Source organism: Homo sapiens, chromosome Y (assembly GCF_000001405.40).
Source record: "Homo sapiens chromosome Y, GRCh38.p14 Primary Assembly".
In the NCBI taxonomy this organism is placed as follows: Eukaryota; Metazoa; Chordata; class Mammalia; order Primates; family Hominidae; genus Homo; species Homo sapiens.
In genome coordinates this window covers 11,674,124-11,690,984 of record NC_000024.10, presented here as the reverse complement: position 1 = coordinate 11,690,984, position 16,861 = coordinate 11,674,124, and the positions used below count along the sequence as shown (strand labels likewise).

Sequence of the window (16,861 nt, the reverse complement as noted above, 5' to 3'; positions counted from 1 at the left end):
CTCCATTCCACTCGATTCCACTCCATTCCATTCCATTCCATTGTATGCCATTCTGTTCCATTACATTGCATTACCTTCCATTACATTGCATTCCATTCCATCCCATTTGATTCCATTCTATTCGATTCCATTCCATTTGAATCAATTACATTGTAACCCATTTCATTCGAGTCCTTTCTATTCCAGTCCAATGCATTCCGGTCCATTCATTTCGATTCCATTCCATTTGATTTCATTCCATACTATTACATTCCATTTGATTCAATTCTATTTGAATAAATTCCATTCGAAACCATTCTTTCAAGTCCATTCTATTTGTGTCTATTCTTTTCGAGTCAATTATATGTGGGTCCATTCCATTCCATTCCATTCGATGCCATTCCATACGATTCTATTCCTTTTGAGTCCATTTCATTCGAGTACATTCTATTTCATTCCATTCCATTCCATTCCATTGCATTCCATTCCATTCCATTCCATTCCATTGCATTCCATTCCATTCCATTCCATTCCATTGCATTCCATTCCATTCCATTGCATTCCATTTCATTCCATTCCATTCCATTGCATTCCATTCCATTCCATTCCATTCCATTCCATTCCATTCCATTCCATTCCATTCCTTTCAATACCATTCCATTCCATTGTATTCCATTCGAATCCATTCCTTTCCATTCCATTCCTTTCGATGCCATTCCTTTGGATTATATTCTATTCGACTCCATTCAATTCCATTTTGTTCCATCCAATTCAATTCCATTCCATTCCATTCCATTCCATTCCATTCCATTCCATTCCATTGCATTCCTTTCCAATCTATTCCATTCCATTCCATTCCATTCCATTCCATTCCATTCCTTTCCATTGCATTCCCTTCCATTCCATTCCATTGCATTCGTTTCCATTCCTTTCGTGTCTATTCCACTCCAGTCCATTTCCTTTGATTCCATTCCATTCGGGTCCATTCCATTCAACTCCATTCCATTCGACTCCATTCTAATCCATTCCATTACTTTCCATTCCGCTCGATTCCAATCCGTTCAATTCCATTTTCTTCCAGTCCATTCCTTTCGTGTCCATTCCATTCCAGTCCATTCTATTCGATTCCATTAAATTAGATTCCATTACCCTCGATTCCACTCCGTTCCGTTCCATTGTAATCCATTCAATTCCTTTCCATTCCATTTGATTACATTCCATTCGATACCGTTCCATTTGAACCAATTGCATTGCAATCCATTACATTCGATTCTGTTCTATACTTGACTGTTCCATTCCGGTCCATTCTTTTCGATACCTTTGAATTCAATTCCATTCCCTACTACTGCATTCTGTTTGATTCCATTCTATTCGAATAAATTCCTTTCGGGACCATTCCTTTTGAGTCCTTTCAATTTGAATCCATTCCATTCGAGTCCATTACATTTGGTTCCATTCCATTCCATTTGATGTCATTCAATTCTAATCTATTCCATTCGAGTCCAATCCATTCGAGTCCATTCCATTCCTATCCATTCTTTTCGAGGCCATTCCATTCGATTCTATTCCATTTGACTCCATTCCATTCCATTCCATTCCATCCGATTACATTCCATTCTATTCCTTTCCATTCCATTACAAACGTTTCCATTCCATTTGAGTCCATTCCACTCCAACCGATTCCATTCGAGTCCATTCCATTCCAGTGCATTCCGTTCGATTCCATTCCATTCCAGTCCATTCCATTTGATATCTTTCCATTACTCTCCATTCCATTCTATTCATTTTGATTCCATTCTATCCCTTTCAACTTCATTCCATTCCTTTCGATTCCTTTCCATTCGACTCCATTCCATTCGAGTCCATTCCATTCCATTCCATTCAAGTCCAATCTGTTCGATTCCATTTTGTTCCACTTCATTCCTTTCGAGTCCATTCCACTCCAGTCCATTCCATTCGATTCCATTACATTCAATTCCTTTATATTCGATTCCATTCCACTCGATTCCACTCCATTCCATTCCATTGCATTCCATTCTATTCCATTCCATTGTACACCTTTTCATTCCATTTGATTACATTCCATTGGATTTCATTCCATTCAAACCAATTGCATTGCAATCCATTACATTCTCGTCCATTCCATTCCATTCCATTCCATTCCATTCCATTCCATTCCATTCCATTCCTGTCGATTCCATTCGATTCCATTCCACACTATTGCATTGCATTCAATTCCATTCTAATCGAAAAAATTCCATTCGAGACCATTCCTTTTCAGTCCATTCTATTTGTGTCTGTTCTGTTCGATTCCATTACATTTGGGTCCGTTCCATTACATGCCATTCCATTCGAAGCCATTCCATTCAATTCTACTCCATTTGAGTCCATTCCTTTCGATTCCATTCCATTGCATTTCATTATATTCAAGGCCATTCCATTTGATTCTATTATATTCGACTACATTCCATTCCATTCAGTTTCATTCCATTCCATTCCATTCTATTCCTTTCCATTGCATTTCATTGCATTCCATGGCACTCCTTTCCATTCCATTCGAGTCCATTCAACTCCAGTCCATTCCATTCCAATCCATTCCCTTCGAGTCCATTCAATTCCATTCGTTTCCATTCGATATCTTTTCATTACACTCCATTCCATTCTATCCCTTTCGATTCCATTCACTTCGTTTGTTTTGGTTCAATTCCATTCGGTTCCATTCCATTATATTCCATTCCAATCGAATCCATTCCATTCCATTCCATTCCATTCAATTCCATTCCATTCCATTCTGTTCTATTCAATTCCAATCCGATTGATTCGATTTTGTTCTAGTGAATTCCATTTTAATACATTCCTTACCAGTCCATTCTATTCGATTCCATTCCATTCTGTTCTATTCCACATGAGTCCTCTATGTTCCATTCCATTGCATTCCATTCCATTCCATTCCATTCCATTCCATTCCATTGCATTCCATTCCATTCCATTCCATTCCATTCCATTCCATTCCATTCCATTCCATTGTATTCCATTCCATTCCTTTTGAATAATTCCATTTGATTCCATGGCATTCGAATCAATTACTTTGCAATCCATTACATTTGAATTCATTCTATTCCAGTCAATTCCATTCCATTCCATTCCATTCGATTCCATTCCGTTTGATTCCATTCCATTCTATTGCATTCCATTCTATTCCAATCTATTGGAATATATTCCTTACGAGACCATTCCTTTTGAGTCCATTCCACTTGAATCCATTCATTTCGAGTCTATTACATTTGGGTCAATTCCATTCCTTCCCATTCCATTCCATTCGGTGCCATTCCATTTGATTCTATTCCATTAGAGTCCATTCAATTCTATTCCATTCCACTCCATTCCATTCCATTGCATTCGATGCTATCCCATTCGTCTCCATTTCATTCCATTCCATTCCATCAGATTCCATTCCATTGTATTTCTTTCCATTCCATTCCATTCCATTTCATTTGATTCCATTCCATTCCATTCCATTTCATTCAATTCCAAACCATTAGTTTCTATTACATTCGATTCCATTCCATTCCAGTCCTTTCTATTCGAGTCCATTCCATTTGAGTCCATTCCATTGAATTCCACTCCTTTCATTATCTTTCCATTCCACTCCATTCCATTCTATTCCCTTTGATTGCATTCAATTCCAATCCATTTGATTCCATTCCATTCTATTCCATTCAATTCGACTCCATTCCATGCGAGTTCATTCCAATCAATTACATTCTGTTCCGTTTGATTCCAATCCTTTCGATTCCATGGTTTTCCTGTTCATTCCATTCCAGTACATTCCATTCGATTCCTTTTCTTTCGATTCCATTCCTTTAGATTCCGTTCCACTCGATTCCACTCCGTTCCATTAAATTGCTTTCCATCCTATTCCATTACTTTGCATTCCATTCCATTCCATTTGATTCCATTCCATGTGACTCCATTCCATTGAAATCAATTGCTTGTAATCCATTACATTCGAGTCCATTCTATTCCAGTCCATTCCTTTTCACTCCATTCCATTGGATTCCATTCCATTATATTCCATTCCTTAGTATTGCATTCCATTCGATTCGATACTATTCGAATGAATTCCCTTCAAGACCATTCCTTTCAAATCCGTCGTATTTGAATCCAATCCATTTGAGTCCATTACATTCGCGTCCATTCCATTCCATGCTATTCTATTCAATTCCGTTTGATGCCTTTACATTCGATTATATTCCATTCATATTTATTCCATTTGAGTCCATTCCTTTCCATTCCCTTCCATTCCATTTCATGCCATTCCATTCTATTCTATTCCATTTGACTCCATTCCTGTCCATTCCATTCCATCCGTTTCCATTCTATTCAATTCTTTCCATTCCATTGCATTGCATTCCATTCCACTCCATTTGTTTCCCTTCCATTCGAGTCCATTCCACTCCATTCCATTACATTCGACTCCATTTCATTCCAGTGCATTCCATTCCTGTCTATTCAATTCCAGTCCATTCCATTTGAGTCCATTCCATTCCATTCTAATCCATTCGATATCTATCCATGACACTCTATTCCATTCGATTCGATTCCATTCAATTCCATTCGATTATATTCAATTCCAATCCGTTCAATTCCGTTTTTTCAGTAGTACATTTCTTTTTTGTCCATTCCATTCGACATCATTCCGTTGCATTCCATTATGTTGCATTTGATTACATTCCATTTGATTCCATTCCATTCATGTCAATCACGTTACAATCCATTATATTCGACTCCGTACTATTCCAGTCCATTCCATTCTGGTCAATTCCATTCGATTCCATTCCCTTCGAATCCTTTCCATACTTTTGCACTCCATTCGATTCCATTCTATTAGAATAATTTCCTTTCGAGACCTTTGCTTTCGATTTCATTCTATTTGAGTCCATTCCATTTGAGTCGATTTCATTTGTGTCCATTCGCTACCATTCCTTTCCATTCCATTCCATCCCATTCCATTCAATGCCATTCTATTTGAGTCCATTCCATTCGAGTCCATTCCATTCCATAAAATTCGATGCCATTGCATTCGATTCTATTGCATTAGACTCCATTCTATTCCATTCCATTCCATTCCATTCCATTCCATTCCATTCTTTTCCGTTCAATTCCAATCCGTTAATTTCCGTTTTGTTCCAGTCCATTCCATTCGACTCCATTCCATTCAATTCCACTGCATTCGATTCCATTCCCTTCGATTCCACTCCATTCTATTCCATTGCATTCTATTCTATTCCACTGCACTGCATTCCATTCCATTCCATTTGATTTAATTAAGTTGGATTCCATTCTTTCAAATCGATTACATTGCAATCCATTACATATGAGTCCTTTCTATTCCAGTCCATTCAATTCTGCTCCATTCCATTCAATTCCATTCCATTCGATTCCAATCCATACTATTGCATTCCATTGGATTCTATTCCATTCGACTACATTCCATTCCATTCCATTCCATCCGATTTCATTACATTCTTTTCCTTTCATTTCCATTCCATTCCATTCGTTTCCATTCCATTTGAGTCAATTCCCTAAAGCCCATTCCATTCGAGTCAATTATATTACAGTCCATTCCATTTGATTATATTCCATTCCATTCGGTATCTTTCATTACTGTCCATTCCATTCTATTCTTTTCAATTCCATTCAATTCCATTCCATTCCCTTCCATTCCATTGGTGCATTTATTTCGAGTTCACTCCATTCCATTCCATTCGATTTCCTTCCACTCAATTCCACTTTGTTCCATTCCATTGCATTCCATTGTATTCCATTCCATTGCATTCCATTCCATTTCATTTGATTACCTTCCATACGGTTCCTTTCTATTTCTATTATATTGCAATCCATTACATTCGTGTACGTTCTGTTCTAGTCCATTCCATCCTTGTCAATTCCTTTCGATTCCATTCCATACTATTGCATTCCATTTGATTCCATTCGTTTCGAATAAATTCCATTTGAGACCTTTCCTTTCGAGTGCATTGTATTTGAGTCCATTCTATTCGATTCCATTCCATTTGGGTCCATACCATTCCATTCCCTTCCATTCCACGCGATTGTATTCCACAGAATTCTACTCCATTCGAGTCCATTCCATTCGAGTCATTCCATTCCATTCCATTTGATGCCATTCCATTCAACTCCATTCCGTTCAGTTTCTTTTCATCCGATTCCATTCCATGGTAATCCTTTCCATTCCATTGCATTCCATTCCATTCCATTCCATTCCATTCCATTCCATTCCATTCCATTCCATTCATTTCCATTCCATTCGAGTCCATACCACTCCTGTCCATGCCATTTGAGTCCATTCCATTCCAGTTCATTCCATTTGAGACTATTCCATTCTATTCCTTTAGATATATTTCCGTTACATTCCATTCCATTCTATTCCTTTCGATTCCATTCACTTCCATTCCATTTGATTCCATTCCATTTGGTTCCATTACAGTCGACAACAATCCATTCAGGTCTATTCCAATACATTCCATTCCATTAAATTCCGTTCTGTTCTATTGCAATCCGTATTATTCCATTTTGTTCCAGTCCATTCCATTGGAGTCCATTCCATTCGATTCCATTCCATTCAACTCCATTCCACTCAACTCTGTTCCATTCCGTTGCATTCCATTCCATTCTAGTTGATTACATTCCATTCGATTTCATTCCATTAGAATTAATTACATTGCAATTCATTAAATTCTATTCCAGTCCATTCCATTCCGTTCCATTCCCTTCAATAACTTTCCATTGGATTCCATTCCATACTATTGCAATCCATTCGATTACATTCTATTCGAATAAATTCCATTCGAGACCATTCCTTTTGAGTCTATTCTATTTGATTCCATTCCATACGAGTCCATTACATTTGAGTCCATTCAATTCCATTCCATTCCACTAAATTCCATTCCATTCAATTTGATGCTATTCCAATTGATTTTATTCAATTCGAGTCCATTTCATTCGAGTCCATTCCATTCCATTTGATGCCATTCCGTTCGATTCTATTCCATCAGAATCCACCCCATTCCATTCCGTTCCATCTGATTCCTCCAATCCATTCAATTCCATTACATTCGATTCCACTCCATTCCATTCCATTCGATATATTTCCGTTACACTCCATTCCATTCTATTCCTTTCGTTTCCACTCAATTCCAATCCATTCCATTTGATTCCATTCCATTCGACTCCATTCCATTTTTGTCCCTTCCATTCCATTCCGTTCCGTTCGGTTCCAATCTGTTCGATTCCATTTTTTCCTTCCATTACATTGCAGTCCATTCCATTCCAGTACATTCCATTTGATTCCATTCCATTCGATTCCATTGCACTCGATTCCACTCCGTTCCATAACATTGCATTCCACTTTATTCCTTTCCATTTCATTCCATTGCATTCTAATTGATTACAGTCCATTAGATTCCATTCAATTCGAATCAATTACATTGCAATCCATTACATTGGAGTCCGTTCTATTCCAGTCCATTCCGTTCTGTTCTATTGCATTCGATTCCATTCAATTCGATCCCATTGCATACTGTTGCATTCCATTCGATTCAATTCTATTCAAATAAATTCCATTCGACACCTTTCCTTTCGAGTCCATTCTATTTCAGTCCATTCCATTCGAGTCCATTACATTTGTGTCCATTCCATGCCATTCCATTCCATTCAATTCAATACCATTCCATTGTATTCTATTCTTTTCAGGTCCATTCCATTCGATTCAATTCCATTCCATTCCATTCGAAGTCATTTCATTCCATTCTATTCCATTTGAGTCCATTCCATTTCATTCCTTTCTATCCAAATCCATTCCCTTCTAGTCCATTCCATGCGTTTCTGTTACATTCGTGTCCATTCCACTCCAGTCCCTTCCATTAGAGTCTATTCCTTTGCAGTCCATTCCATTCGAGTCCACTCTATTCCATTCAATTTAATATCTTTCCATTAGACTCCATTCAATGCTATTCTTTTGGATTCCATTCAATTCCATTTTATTCGACTAATTAAATTCAATTCCATTTTATTCGACTAATTCAATTCAATTCCATTCCACTCGACTCCATTCTATTCGATTCCATTCCATTCTATTCATTTCCATTCGATTGCAATCCGTTCGATTCAGTTTCATTCCAGTCCAGTCCATTCGAGTCTATTCCATTCCAGTCCATTCCATACGATTCCAATCCATTCGATTCCATTCCACTAGATTCCACTCCGTTCCATGAGTTTGCATTCCATTGTATTCCATTCCATTGCATTCCATTCCACTCCTTTTGAATACATTCAATTCGATTCTATTACAGTTGAGTCAATTACTTTGCAATCCATTCCATTCGAGTCCTTTCTATTCCAGTCCATTCCATTCTGGTCCATTCCATTCGATTCCTTTCCATTCGAATCCATTCCATACTTTTGCATTCCATTCGATTCCATTGTATTTGAGTAAATTCCATTCGAGACCGTCCCTTTCGAGTCTTTTCTATTTGAGTCCATTCCTTTCGAGTCCATTACATTTGGGTCAATTCCATTCCATTCCATTCCATTCCATTCGATACCATTCCATTCGATTCTATTCCTTTGGAGTCCATTCCATTTGACTGCAGTCCATTCCATTCCATTGCATTCCATTCCATTCCATTGCATTCCATTCCATTCCATTCGAAGCCATTCCATTCAACTCTATTCCATTTGACTGCATTCCATTCCATTCCATTCCTTCCATTTCCATTCCATTCTATTCCATTCCATTCCATTCCATTCCATTCCATTCCATTCTACTCGATTCCACTCCTTTCCATTCCATTGCATTCCATTGTATTCTATTCCATTGCATTCCATTCCTTTCCATTTGATTATATTCCATTCGATTCCAGTCTATTCGAATCAATTACATTGCAATGCACTACATTTGAGTCCGTTCTATTCTAGTCCATTCCATTCGATTCCATTCCATACTATTGCACTCCCTGCGATTCCAGTCTATTTGAATAAACGCCATTCGAGACCATTCCTTCCGTGTCCATTCTATTAGATTCCATTCATTTAGAGTCCATTACATTTGGGTCCATTTCTTTATATTCAGTTCGATGCTATTGCTTTCATTTCCATTCCATTCGTTTCCTTTCCTTTGAATCTATTACATTGCAATTCATTACATTCATGTCCCCTCCATTCCAGTCTATTCCATTCCGTTTCATTCCATTCAATTACGTTGCATTCGATTCCATTCCATTCCATTTCATTTGATTCCATTCCATTAGATGCCATTCCATTCATTTCCATTCCATTCAATTCCATTCCTTTGAATCTATTACTTTGCATTTCATTACATTTGTGTCCACTTTATTCCAGTCCATTGCATTCTGGTCCATTCCATTCGATTCCTTTCCATTCAATTCCATTCCATTCGATTTCATTCAATACTATTGCATTCCATTCGATTCGATTCTACACAAAAGAATTCCATTCATTCCCATTCCGTTCGAGTCCATTCTGTTGGATTACATTCCATTGGAGTCCATTACAGGTGGGTCCATTCCATTCCATTCCATTGCATTCCGTTCCATTCAATGCCATTCCACTCGACTATATTATATGAGAATCCATTCCATTCGAGTAAATTCCATTCCATTCAATTCCATTTGATGCCATTCGTTTCGATTCTACTTCTTTCGGCTCCATTACATTCCTTTCCGTTCCATCTGATTCCATTCAATTATATTCTTTTCCATTCCATTCCATTTGTTTCCATTCCATTCGAGTCCATTCCACTCCATTCCATTCCATTTGGGTCGATTCCACCCTTGTTCATTCCATTCGAGTCCATTCCATTCCAGTCCATTATATTCGAATCCATTCCTTTCCATTCCATTCTATTTGATATCCTTCCATTGAGGTCCATTCCATTAAATTCCATTCCATTCAACTTCATTCTATTTGATTCCATTCCATTTGACTCCATTCCCTTCGTGTCCATTCCATTCCCAACCATTTCATTCCGTTCCGTTCTATTCCAATCCATTTGAATCCACCTTGTCCCAAGTCCATTCCATTCAAATCCTTTCCATTCAATTCCATTCCACTCGATTCCACTCCATTCCGTTCCATTACACTGCATTCCATTCTATTCCATTCCTTTGTATTCCATTCCATTCCATTTGATTACATTCCATTCGCTTCCATTCCATTCGAATCAATCAAATTGCATTCCATTACATTCGAGTCCTTTCTATTCCAGTCCATTCCATTCCACTCCATTCCATTCTATACTATGTCATTCCATTTGATTCCTTTCGATTAGAATAAATTCCATTCGATACCATTCCTTTCGAGTCCATTCTATTTGAGTCCATTGCATTTGAGTCCATTATATTTGGGTCCATTCCATTCGGTTACATGCAATTCCACTTCATTATATTCGATTTCATTCCATTCTATTCTATTCCATTCGAATCCATTCCATTCGAGTTCATTCCATTCCATTCCATTCCATTCCATTCCATTCCATTCCATTCCATTCCATTCCATTCGATGCCATTCCATTTGATTCTATTCCATTCGACTCCATTCAATTCCATTCCGTTCTATCCAATTCCACTCCATTCTATTACTATCCATTTCATTCCATTGCATTCCATTCCATTCCATTCCTTTTCTATTCCTTTCGAGTCCATTCCACTGCAGTCCATTCCTTTCGAGTCCTTTTTATTCCAGTCCATTCCGTGCGATTTCATTCCATTCCATTCTGTTCAATAACTTCCATTTCACTGTATTCCATTCAATTCCTTTCGATTCCATTCAATTCCATCCCATTTGATTGCATTCCATACAATTCTATTCCATTCGACTTCATTCCATTCTAGTCCATTCCATTGCATTCCACGCAATTCCACTCCATTCGATTCCAATCTGTTCCAATCCATTTTGTTCCAGTCCATCCCTTTCTATTCCATTCCATTCTATTCCATTCCATTCGATTCCATAGCATTCAATTCCATTCCATTCTATTCCATTCCACCCGATTCCACTCAATTCCATTCCATTGCATTGTGTTCTATTGTGTTCCATTGCTTTCCATTCCCTTCCATTGGATAACATGCCATTCGATTCCATTCCATTCAAATCAATTTCATTGCAATCTATTACATTCGAGTCCGCTCTATTCCAGTCCATTCCATTTCGTTCCATTCCATTCGACTCCATTCCATTCTATTAAAAGTACAGCATTTCATTCGATTCGATTCTATTCGGATGAATTCCTTTCGAGCAAATTCCTTTGAAGTCCATTCTATTTGAGTGCAATCCATTTGACTCCATTGCATTTGATTCCATTCCATTCCATTCCCTTCCAATCCGTTCAATGGCATTGCATTCTATTCTATTTCATTAGAATCCATTCCATTCGAGTCCATTCCTCTCCTCTACATTCCATTCCATTTGATGCCATTACATTAGTTTAATTCCTTTTGACTCCATTACATTCCATTCCGTTCCATCTGTTTCCATTAAATTATAATTCTTTCCTTTGCATTCCATTCGATTCCTTTCTATTTGAGTCCATTCCACTCCAGAACATTCCATTCGAGTCCATTCCACTACTGTCCATTCCATTCTTGTCCATTCCATTCGAGTCCATTCTATTGCATTCCATTCCATTGCATTCTGTATCTTTCCATTGCACTCCGATCCATTGAATTCCATTCCATTCAATTCCACTCCATTCAACTACATTCCATTCAATTCCATTCCATTTGACTCCATTCCTTTCGAGTCCATTCCATTCCATAACATTTCATGGCATTCCGTTAGTTTTCAATCTGTTCGATTCCACTTTGTCTCAAGTCCATTCCATTCGAAGCCATTCAGTTCGATTCCATTCCTTTCGATTCTATTGCATTAGGTTCCATTCCTCTCGATTCCCCTCCGTTCTTTTCCATTACCTTTCATTCCATTCTCTTCCATTCCTTTGTATTGCATTCCATTCCATTTCATTACATTCCATTCGTTTCTATTACATTCGAATGTATCACATTGCAGTCCATAAAGTGCGAGTCCATTCTATTCCGGTCCATTCCATTCTGGTCCATTCAATTTGAATCCATTCCGTTCGATTCCATTCAATATTATTTAATTCTATTCGATTCCATTCTATTCGGATAAATTCCATTCTCGCCCATTCCTTTTGAGTCCATTCTATTTGAGTCCATTCCATTCGAGTCCATTACATATGGGTACATTCCATTCCATTTAATTCAATTCCATTCCATTCGAAGCCATTCCTTTCATTTCTATTCGTTTCAAGTCCGTTCCATTCGAGTCAATTCCATTCCATTCCATTCGATGTCATTCCATTTGATTTTCTTCCATTCGACTCCATTCCATTCCGTTAAATTCCATTCCATTCCATTCCATTACATTCCATTTCATTCCATTAATTCCCTTCCATCCCATTCCATTCCAGTCTATTCCTTTCCATTCGTTTCAATTTCATTAGAGTGCATTCCACTCCAGCCCATTCCATTCAAGTCCATTCCACTCCCGTTCATTCCATTTGAGTCCATTCCAGTCCATTCCATTCAATTCCATTCTGTTCAATAACTTTCTTTTGCAATCCATTCTACTCTATTCCTTTCGATTCCATCAATTCCATTCCATCGATTGCATTCCATTCGGTTCCATTCCATTTGACACCATTCCACTCTATTCCATTCCAATCCATTCCACTCCATTCCATTCCGTTTGAATCCAATCCGTTCAAAACCTTTTTGTTTCAGTCCATTCCATTCGAGTACATTCCATTCAAGTCCATTCCATTCAATTCCATCCCTTTCGATTCCATTCCACATGATTCCCCTCCATTCCATTGCATTGCATTCTACTGCCTTCCATTGGTTTCCATTCCATTCCATTTGATTGCATTCCTTTGCTTTACATTCCATCCATTATATTCGAGTCTGCTCTATTCCAGTCCATTCCATTGTGGTCCATTCCATGCGATTCCATTCTATTCAATTCCATTAAATACTACTGCATTCCTTTCGATTCAATTCTATTCGAATGAATTCCATTCGAGCCCATTCCTTTCAAGTCCATTCAATTTGAGTCCATTCCATTTGAGTCCATTACATTTGGGTCCATTCCATTCCAATCCATTCGATGGCATTCCATTCTTTTCCATTCCATTCAAATCCATTCCATTCGAGTCCATTACACTCTATTCCATTTCATTCCATTCCATTTGATGCCATTCCATTAGATTCTATTTAATTCGACTCCATTACATTCCATTTCATTCTATCTGATTCCATTCCATTATATTTCCTTGCATTCCATTCCAGTGGTTTCCAATCCATTCGAGTCTATTCCACTCCAGTCCATTACATTCGAGTCAATTCCAATACAGTCCATTCCATTCTAATCCATTCCATTCCAGTGCATTCCATTCGAGTCCATTCCATTCCATTCCATTCGATATCTTTCCCATTATACTCCATTCCATTCCATTCAACTGCATTCCATTTGATTCCATTCCATTCGAACCCACTCCATTCGACTCCATTCCATTCAGTTCCATTCCATTCCATTCCATTTCCTTCCTTCCAATTCGATTCCAATCCATTTGATTCCTTTTTTTCCAAGTCCATTCCATTCGAGTCAATTCCATTCGATTCCATTCCATTTGATACCTTTCCATTTGACTCCATTCCCATCGATTCCAGTCCATTCCATTCCATTCCATTGCATTCCATTCTATTCCATTCCTTTGAATTGCATTCCTTTTCATTTGTTTACTTTCCATTCGATTCCATTCCATTCGAATCAATCACATTGCAATCCATTAATTTCGAGTCCAATCTATTCCATTCCATTCTATTCTGGTCCATACATTTCGATTCCATTCCATTCGATCACATTCCATACTATTTCATTCCATTCGATTGAGTTCTATTCGAATAAATTCGATTCCAGACCATTCTTTTTGAGTCCATTCTATTTGAGTCCATTCCTTTCAAGCCCATAATCTTTGGGTCCATTCCAATCCATTCCATTCCATTCAATTCGATTGCATTCCATTCTATTCTATTCCATTCGGGTCCATTCCATTCGAGTCCATTCCATTCCACTCCATTCCATTCGATGCCATTCCATTCGATTTTATTCCATTCGACTCCATTCCATTCCATTCAATTGCTTTCCATCCCATTTCATTCCAGGCTATTCCTTTCCATTCCATTCCATTCCATTTCATTCCATTCCATTCGTTTCCATTCCATTCGAGTCCGTTCCACTCTAGCACATTCCCTTCAAATCCTTTCCAATCCAGTCCATTCCTTTCCTGTCCATTCCAGTCCATTGCATTCGAGTCCATTCCATTCCATTCCCTTCCATTCGATATCTTTACATTGTACTCTATTCCATTCCATTCCTTTCAATTCCATTCAGTTCCATTCCATTCGATTCCATTCCATTTGACTGCATTCCATTCGAGTCCATTCTATTCCATTCTATTCCGTTCCTTTTGATTCCAATCTGTTCCATTCCATTTTGTTCCAGTCCATTCCGTTGAATTCCATTCCATTCCAGTCCATTCCATTCGATTCCATTCCATTCAATTCCATTCCATTCAATTCCATTCCAGTTGATTCGACTCCATTCCATTCCATTGCATTGCCTTCTCTTCCATTCCATTGATTTCCATTCCTATCAGTTGGATTACATTCCAATCATTTCCATTCCATTCGAATCAATTACATTGCAATCCATTCCATTAGAGTCCGTTCCATTCCTGTCCATTCCATTCCAGTCCATTCTGTTCATTTCCATTCCATTCGATTCCTTTCTATTCGAGTCAATGACGTTTCAATTCATTGAATTCGACTCTGTTTTATTCCAGTCCATTTTAGTCAATTCCTTTCCATTCGATTCCCTTCCATACTATTTAATTTCATTCGATTCCATTCTAATCACATAAATTTCATTTGAGACCATTTCTTTCAATTCCATTCTATTAGAGTCCTTTCCATTTGATTCCATGTCATTTGTGTCCATTCCATTAAATTCTATTCCATTCGATGCCATTTCATTTGATTTTATTCCTTTCGAGTCCATTCCATTCGAGTCCATTCCATTCCATTACTTTCCATTCCATTCGATTCTGTTCCATTTACATGCATTCCATTCCATTCCTTTCTCTCTGAATCCACTCCATTCTATTCCTTTCCCTTCCATTCCATTCCATTAAATTCGTTTCCATTCCATTCGAGTCCATTCCACTCCAGTGGATTCCATTCGAGTCTGCCCCATTCCAGTCCATTCCGTTTGAGTCCATTATGTGCCATTGCATTGCATTCGATATCTTTCCCTTACCTTCCATTCCATTCTTTTCCTTTCTATTTCATTCATTTCCATTCTATTCAATTCCATTCCATTCGATTCCACTTCATTTGACTCCATTCCATTCGGGTATGTTCCATTCTATTCGAGTATGTTTCATTCCACTCCATTCCATTCCATTCCATTCCAATCCATTCATTTCCATTTAGTTCCAGTCAATTCCATTCCATTCGATTCCATTCCTCTAGATTCCACTCTTTTCCAGTCTATTGCATTCCATTCTATTCCATTCCATTGCTTTCCATTCCTTTCCATTTGATTATGTTTCATTAGTTTCCATTCCATTTGAATCTATTACATTACAATCAATTACATTCGAGTCCATTCTATTCCAGTCCATTCCTTTCTGCTCCAGTAGATTCCATTCCATTCGATTCCATTACAAACTCTTTCATTCAATTCAATTCGAATCTATTTGAATGAATTCCATTTGAGACCATTCGTTCAGAGTCCATTCTATTTGAGTCCATTCCATTGAGGTCCATTATATTTGAGTCCTTTCAATTCCATTCCATTCCATTCCGTTCCATTCCATTCTATTCCATTTGATTACATGCCATTCGATTGCATCCATTTGAATCAATTACATTGCAATCCATTACATTCGTGTCCGCTCTTTTCCAGTCCATTCAAATCCTGCCCATTCCATTCGATTCCATTCCATTCGAATCCATTCCATACTATTGAATTCCATTCCATTCCATTCTATTCGAATAAATTCCATTCGAAACCATTCCTTTTGAGTCAATTCTGTTTGAGTCCATTCTATTCGAGTCCATTAATTTGCGTCCATTCCATTCCATTCGATACCATTCCATTCGTTGCTATTCCATTAGTGTCCATTCCATTCGATTCCATTTCATTTGATGCCATTGCATTCGATTCTATTCCATTCGACTCTATTGAATTCCATTCCGTTCCATCTGATTCTATTCCATTCTATTCCTTTCTATTTTATTCCATTCCATTCCATTCCATTGCTTTCCATTCCATTCAATTCCTTTCATTTCCATTTCATTCGTGTCCATTCCACTCCAGTCCACTCCATTTGATACCTTTCCATTCCAGTCCATTGCATCTGGGTCTATTCTATTCCATTCCTTTCCATTCGATATCTTTCCATTAACATCCATATTTTTCTAATCCTTTTGATTGCATTCAATTCCATGGTTTTTGGTTCCATTCCATTCGACTCCATTCCATTCTACTCCATACTGTTCCATTCCATTCCATTCCTTTTTGTTCTATTCCAAACCGTTCGATTCAAATTTTTCCAGCCCATTCCATTAGTGTCAATTCCATTCCAGTCGATTGCATTCTATTTCATTCCATTCAATTCCATTCAATTCGAATCCATTTCACACCATTCCAATGCATTCTTTCCTTTCAATTCCATTCCATTTCATTTCGCTTCATTCCT

At 37.8% G+C, this 16,861-nt stretch overlaps 7 annotated features.

The window, feature by feature from the left end:
• Positions 1,168–1,742: an enhancer, noted in NCBI's record as "OCT4-NANOG hESC enhancer chrY:13809949-13810523 (GRCh37/hg19 assembly coordinates)". NCBI's record gives its function as "activates a minimal SCP1, AML or CMV promoter by ChIP-STARR-seq in naive H9 embryonic stem cells {active_cell/tissue: H9 hESC(naive)}" and the evidence as "EXISTENCE:reporter gene assay evidence [ECO:0000049][PMID:30033119]".
• Positions 1,743–2,318: an enhancer, noted in NCBI's record as "OCT4-NANOG hESC enhancer chrY:13809373-13809948 (GRCh37/hg19 assembly coordinates)". NCBI's record gives its function as "activates a minimal SCP1, AML or CMV promoter by ChIP-STARR-seq in naive H9 embryonic stem cells {active_cell/tissue: H9 hESC(naive)}" and the evidence as "EXISTENCE:reporter gene assay evidence [ECO:0000049][PMID:30033119]".
• Positions 2,703–3,652: an enhancer, noted in NCBI's record as "OCT4-NANOG hESC enhancer chrY:13808039-13808988 (GRCh37/hg19 assembly coordinates)". NCBI's record gives its function as "activates a minimal SCP1, AML or CMV promoter by ChIP-STARR-seq in naive H9 embryonic stem cells {active_cell/tissue: H9 hESC(naive)}" and the evidence as "EXISTENCE:reporter gene assay evidence [ECO:0000049][PMID:30033119]".
• Positions 6,591–7,165: an enhancer, noted in NCBI's record as "OCT4-NANOG hESC enhancer chrY:13804526-13805100 (GRCh37/hg19 assembly coordinates)". NCBI's record gives its function as "activates a minimal SCP1, AML or CMV promoter by ChIP-STARR-seq in naive H9 embryonic stem cells {active_cell/tissue: H9 hESC(naive)}" and the evidence as "EXISTENCE:reporter gene assay evidence [ECO:0000049][PMID:30033119]".
• Positions 8,178–9,057: an enhancer, noted in NCBI's record as "OCT4-NANOG hESC enhancer chrY:13802634-13803513 (GRCh37/hg19 assembly coordinates)". NCBI's record gives its function as "activates a minimal SCP1, AML or CMV promoter by ChIP-STARR-seq in naive H9 embryonic stem cells {active_cell/tissue: H9 hESC(naive)}" and the evidence as "EXISTENCE:reporter gene assay evidence [ECO:0000049][PMID:30033119]".
• Positions 9,114–9,712: an enhancer, noted in NCBI's record as "OCT4-NANOG hESC enhancer chrY:13801979-13802577 (GRCh37/hg19 assembly coordinates)". NCBI's record gives its function as "activates a minimal SCP1, AML or CMV promoter by ChIP-STARR-seq in naive H9 embryonic stem cells {active_cell/tissue: H9 hESC(naive)}" and the evidence as "EXISTENCE:reporter gene assay evidence [ECO:0000049][PMID:30033119]".
• Positions 10,256–10,829: an enhancer, noted in NCBI's record as "OCT4-NANOG hESC enhancer chrY:13800862-13801435 (GRCh37/hg19 assembly coordinates)". NCBI's record gives its function as "activates a minimal SCP1, AML or CMV promoter by ChIP-STARR-seq in primed H9 embryonic stem cells {active_cell/tissue: H9 hESC(primed)}" and the evidence as "EXISTENCE:reporter gene assay evidence [ECO:0000049][PMID:30033119]".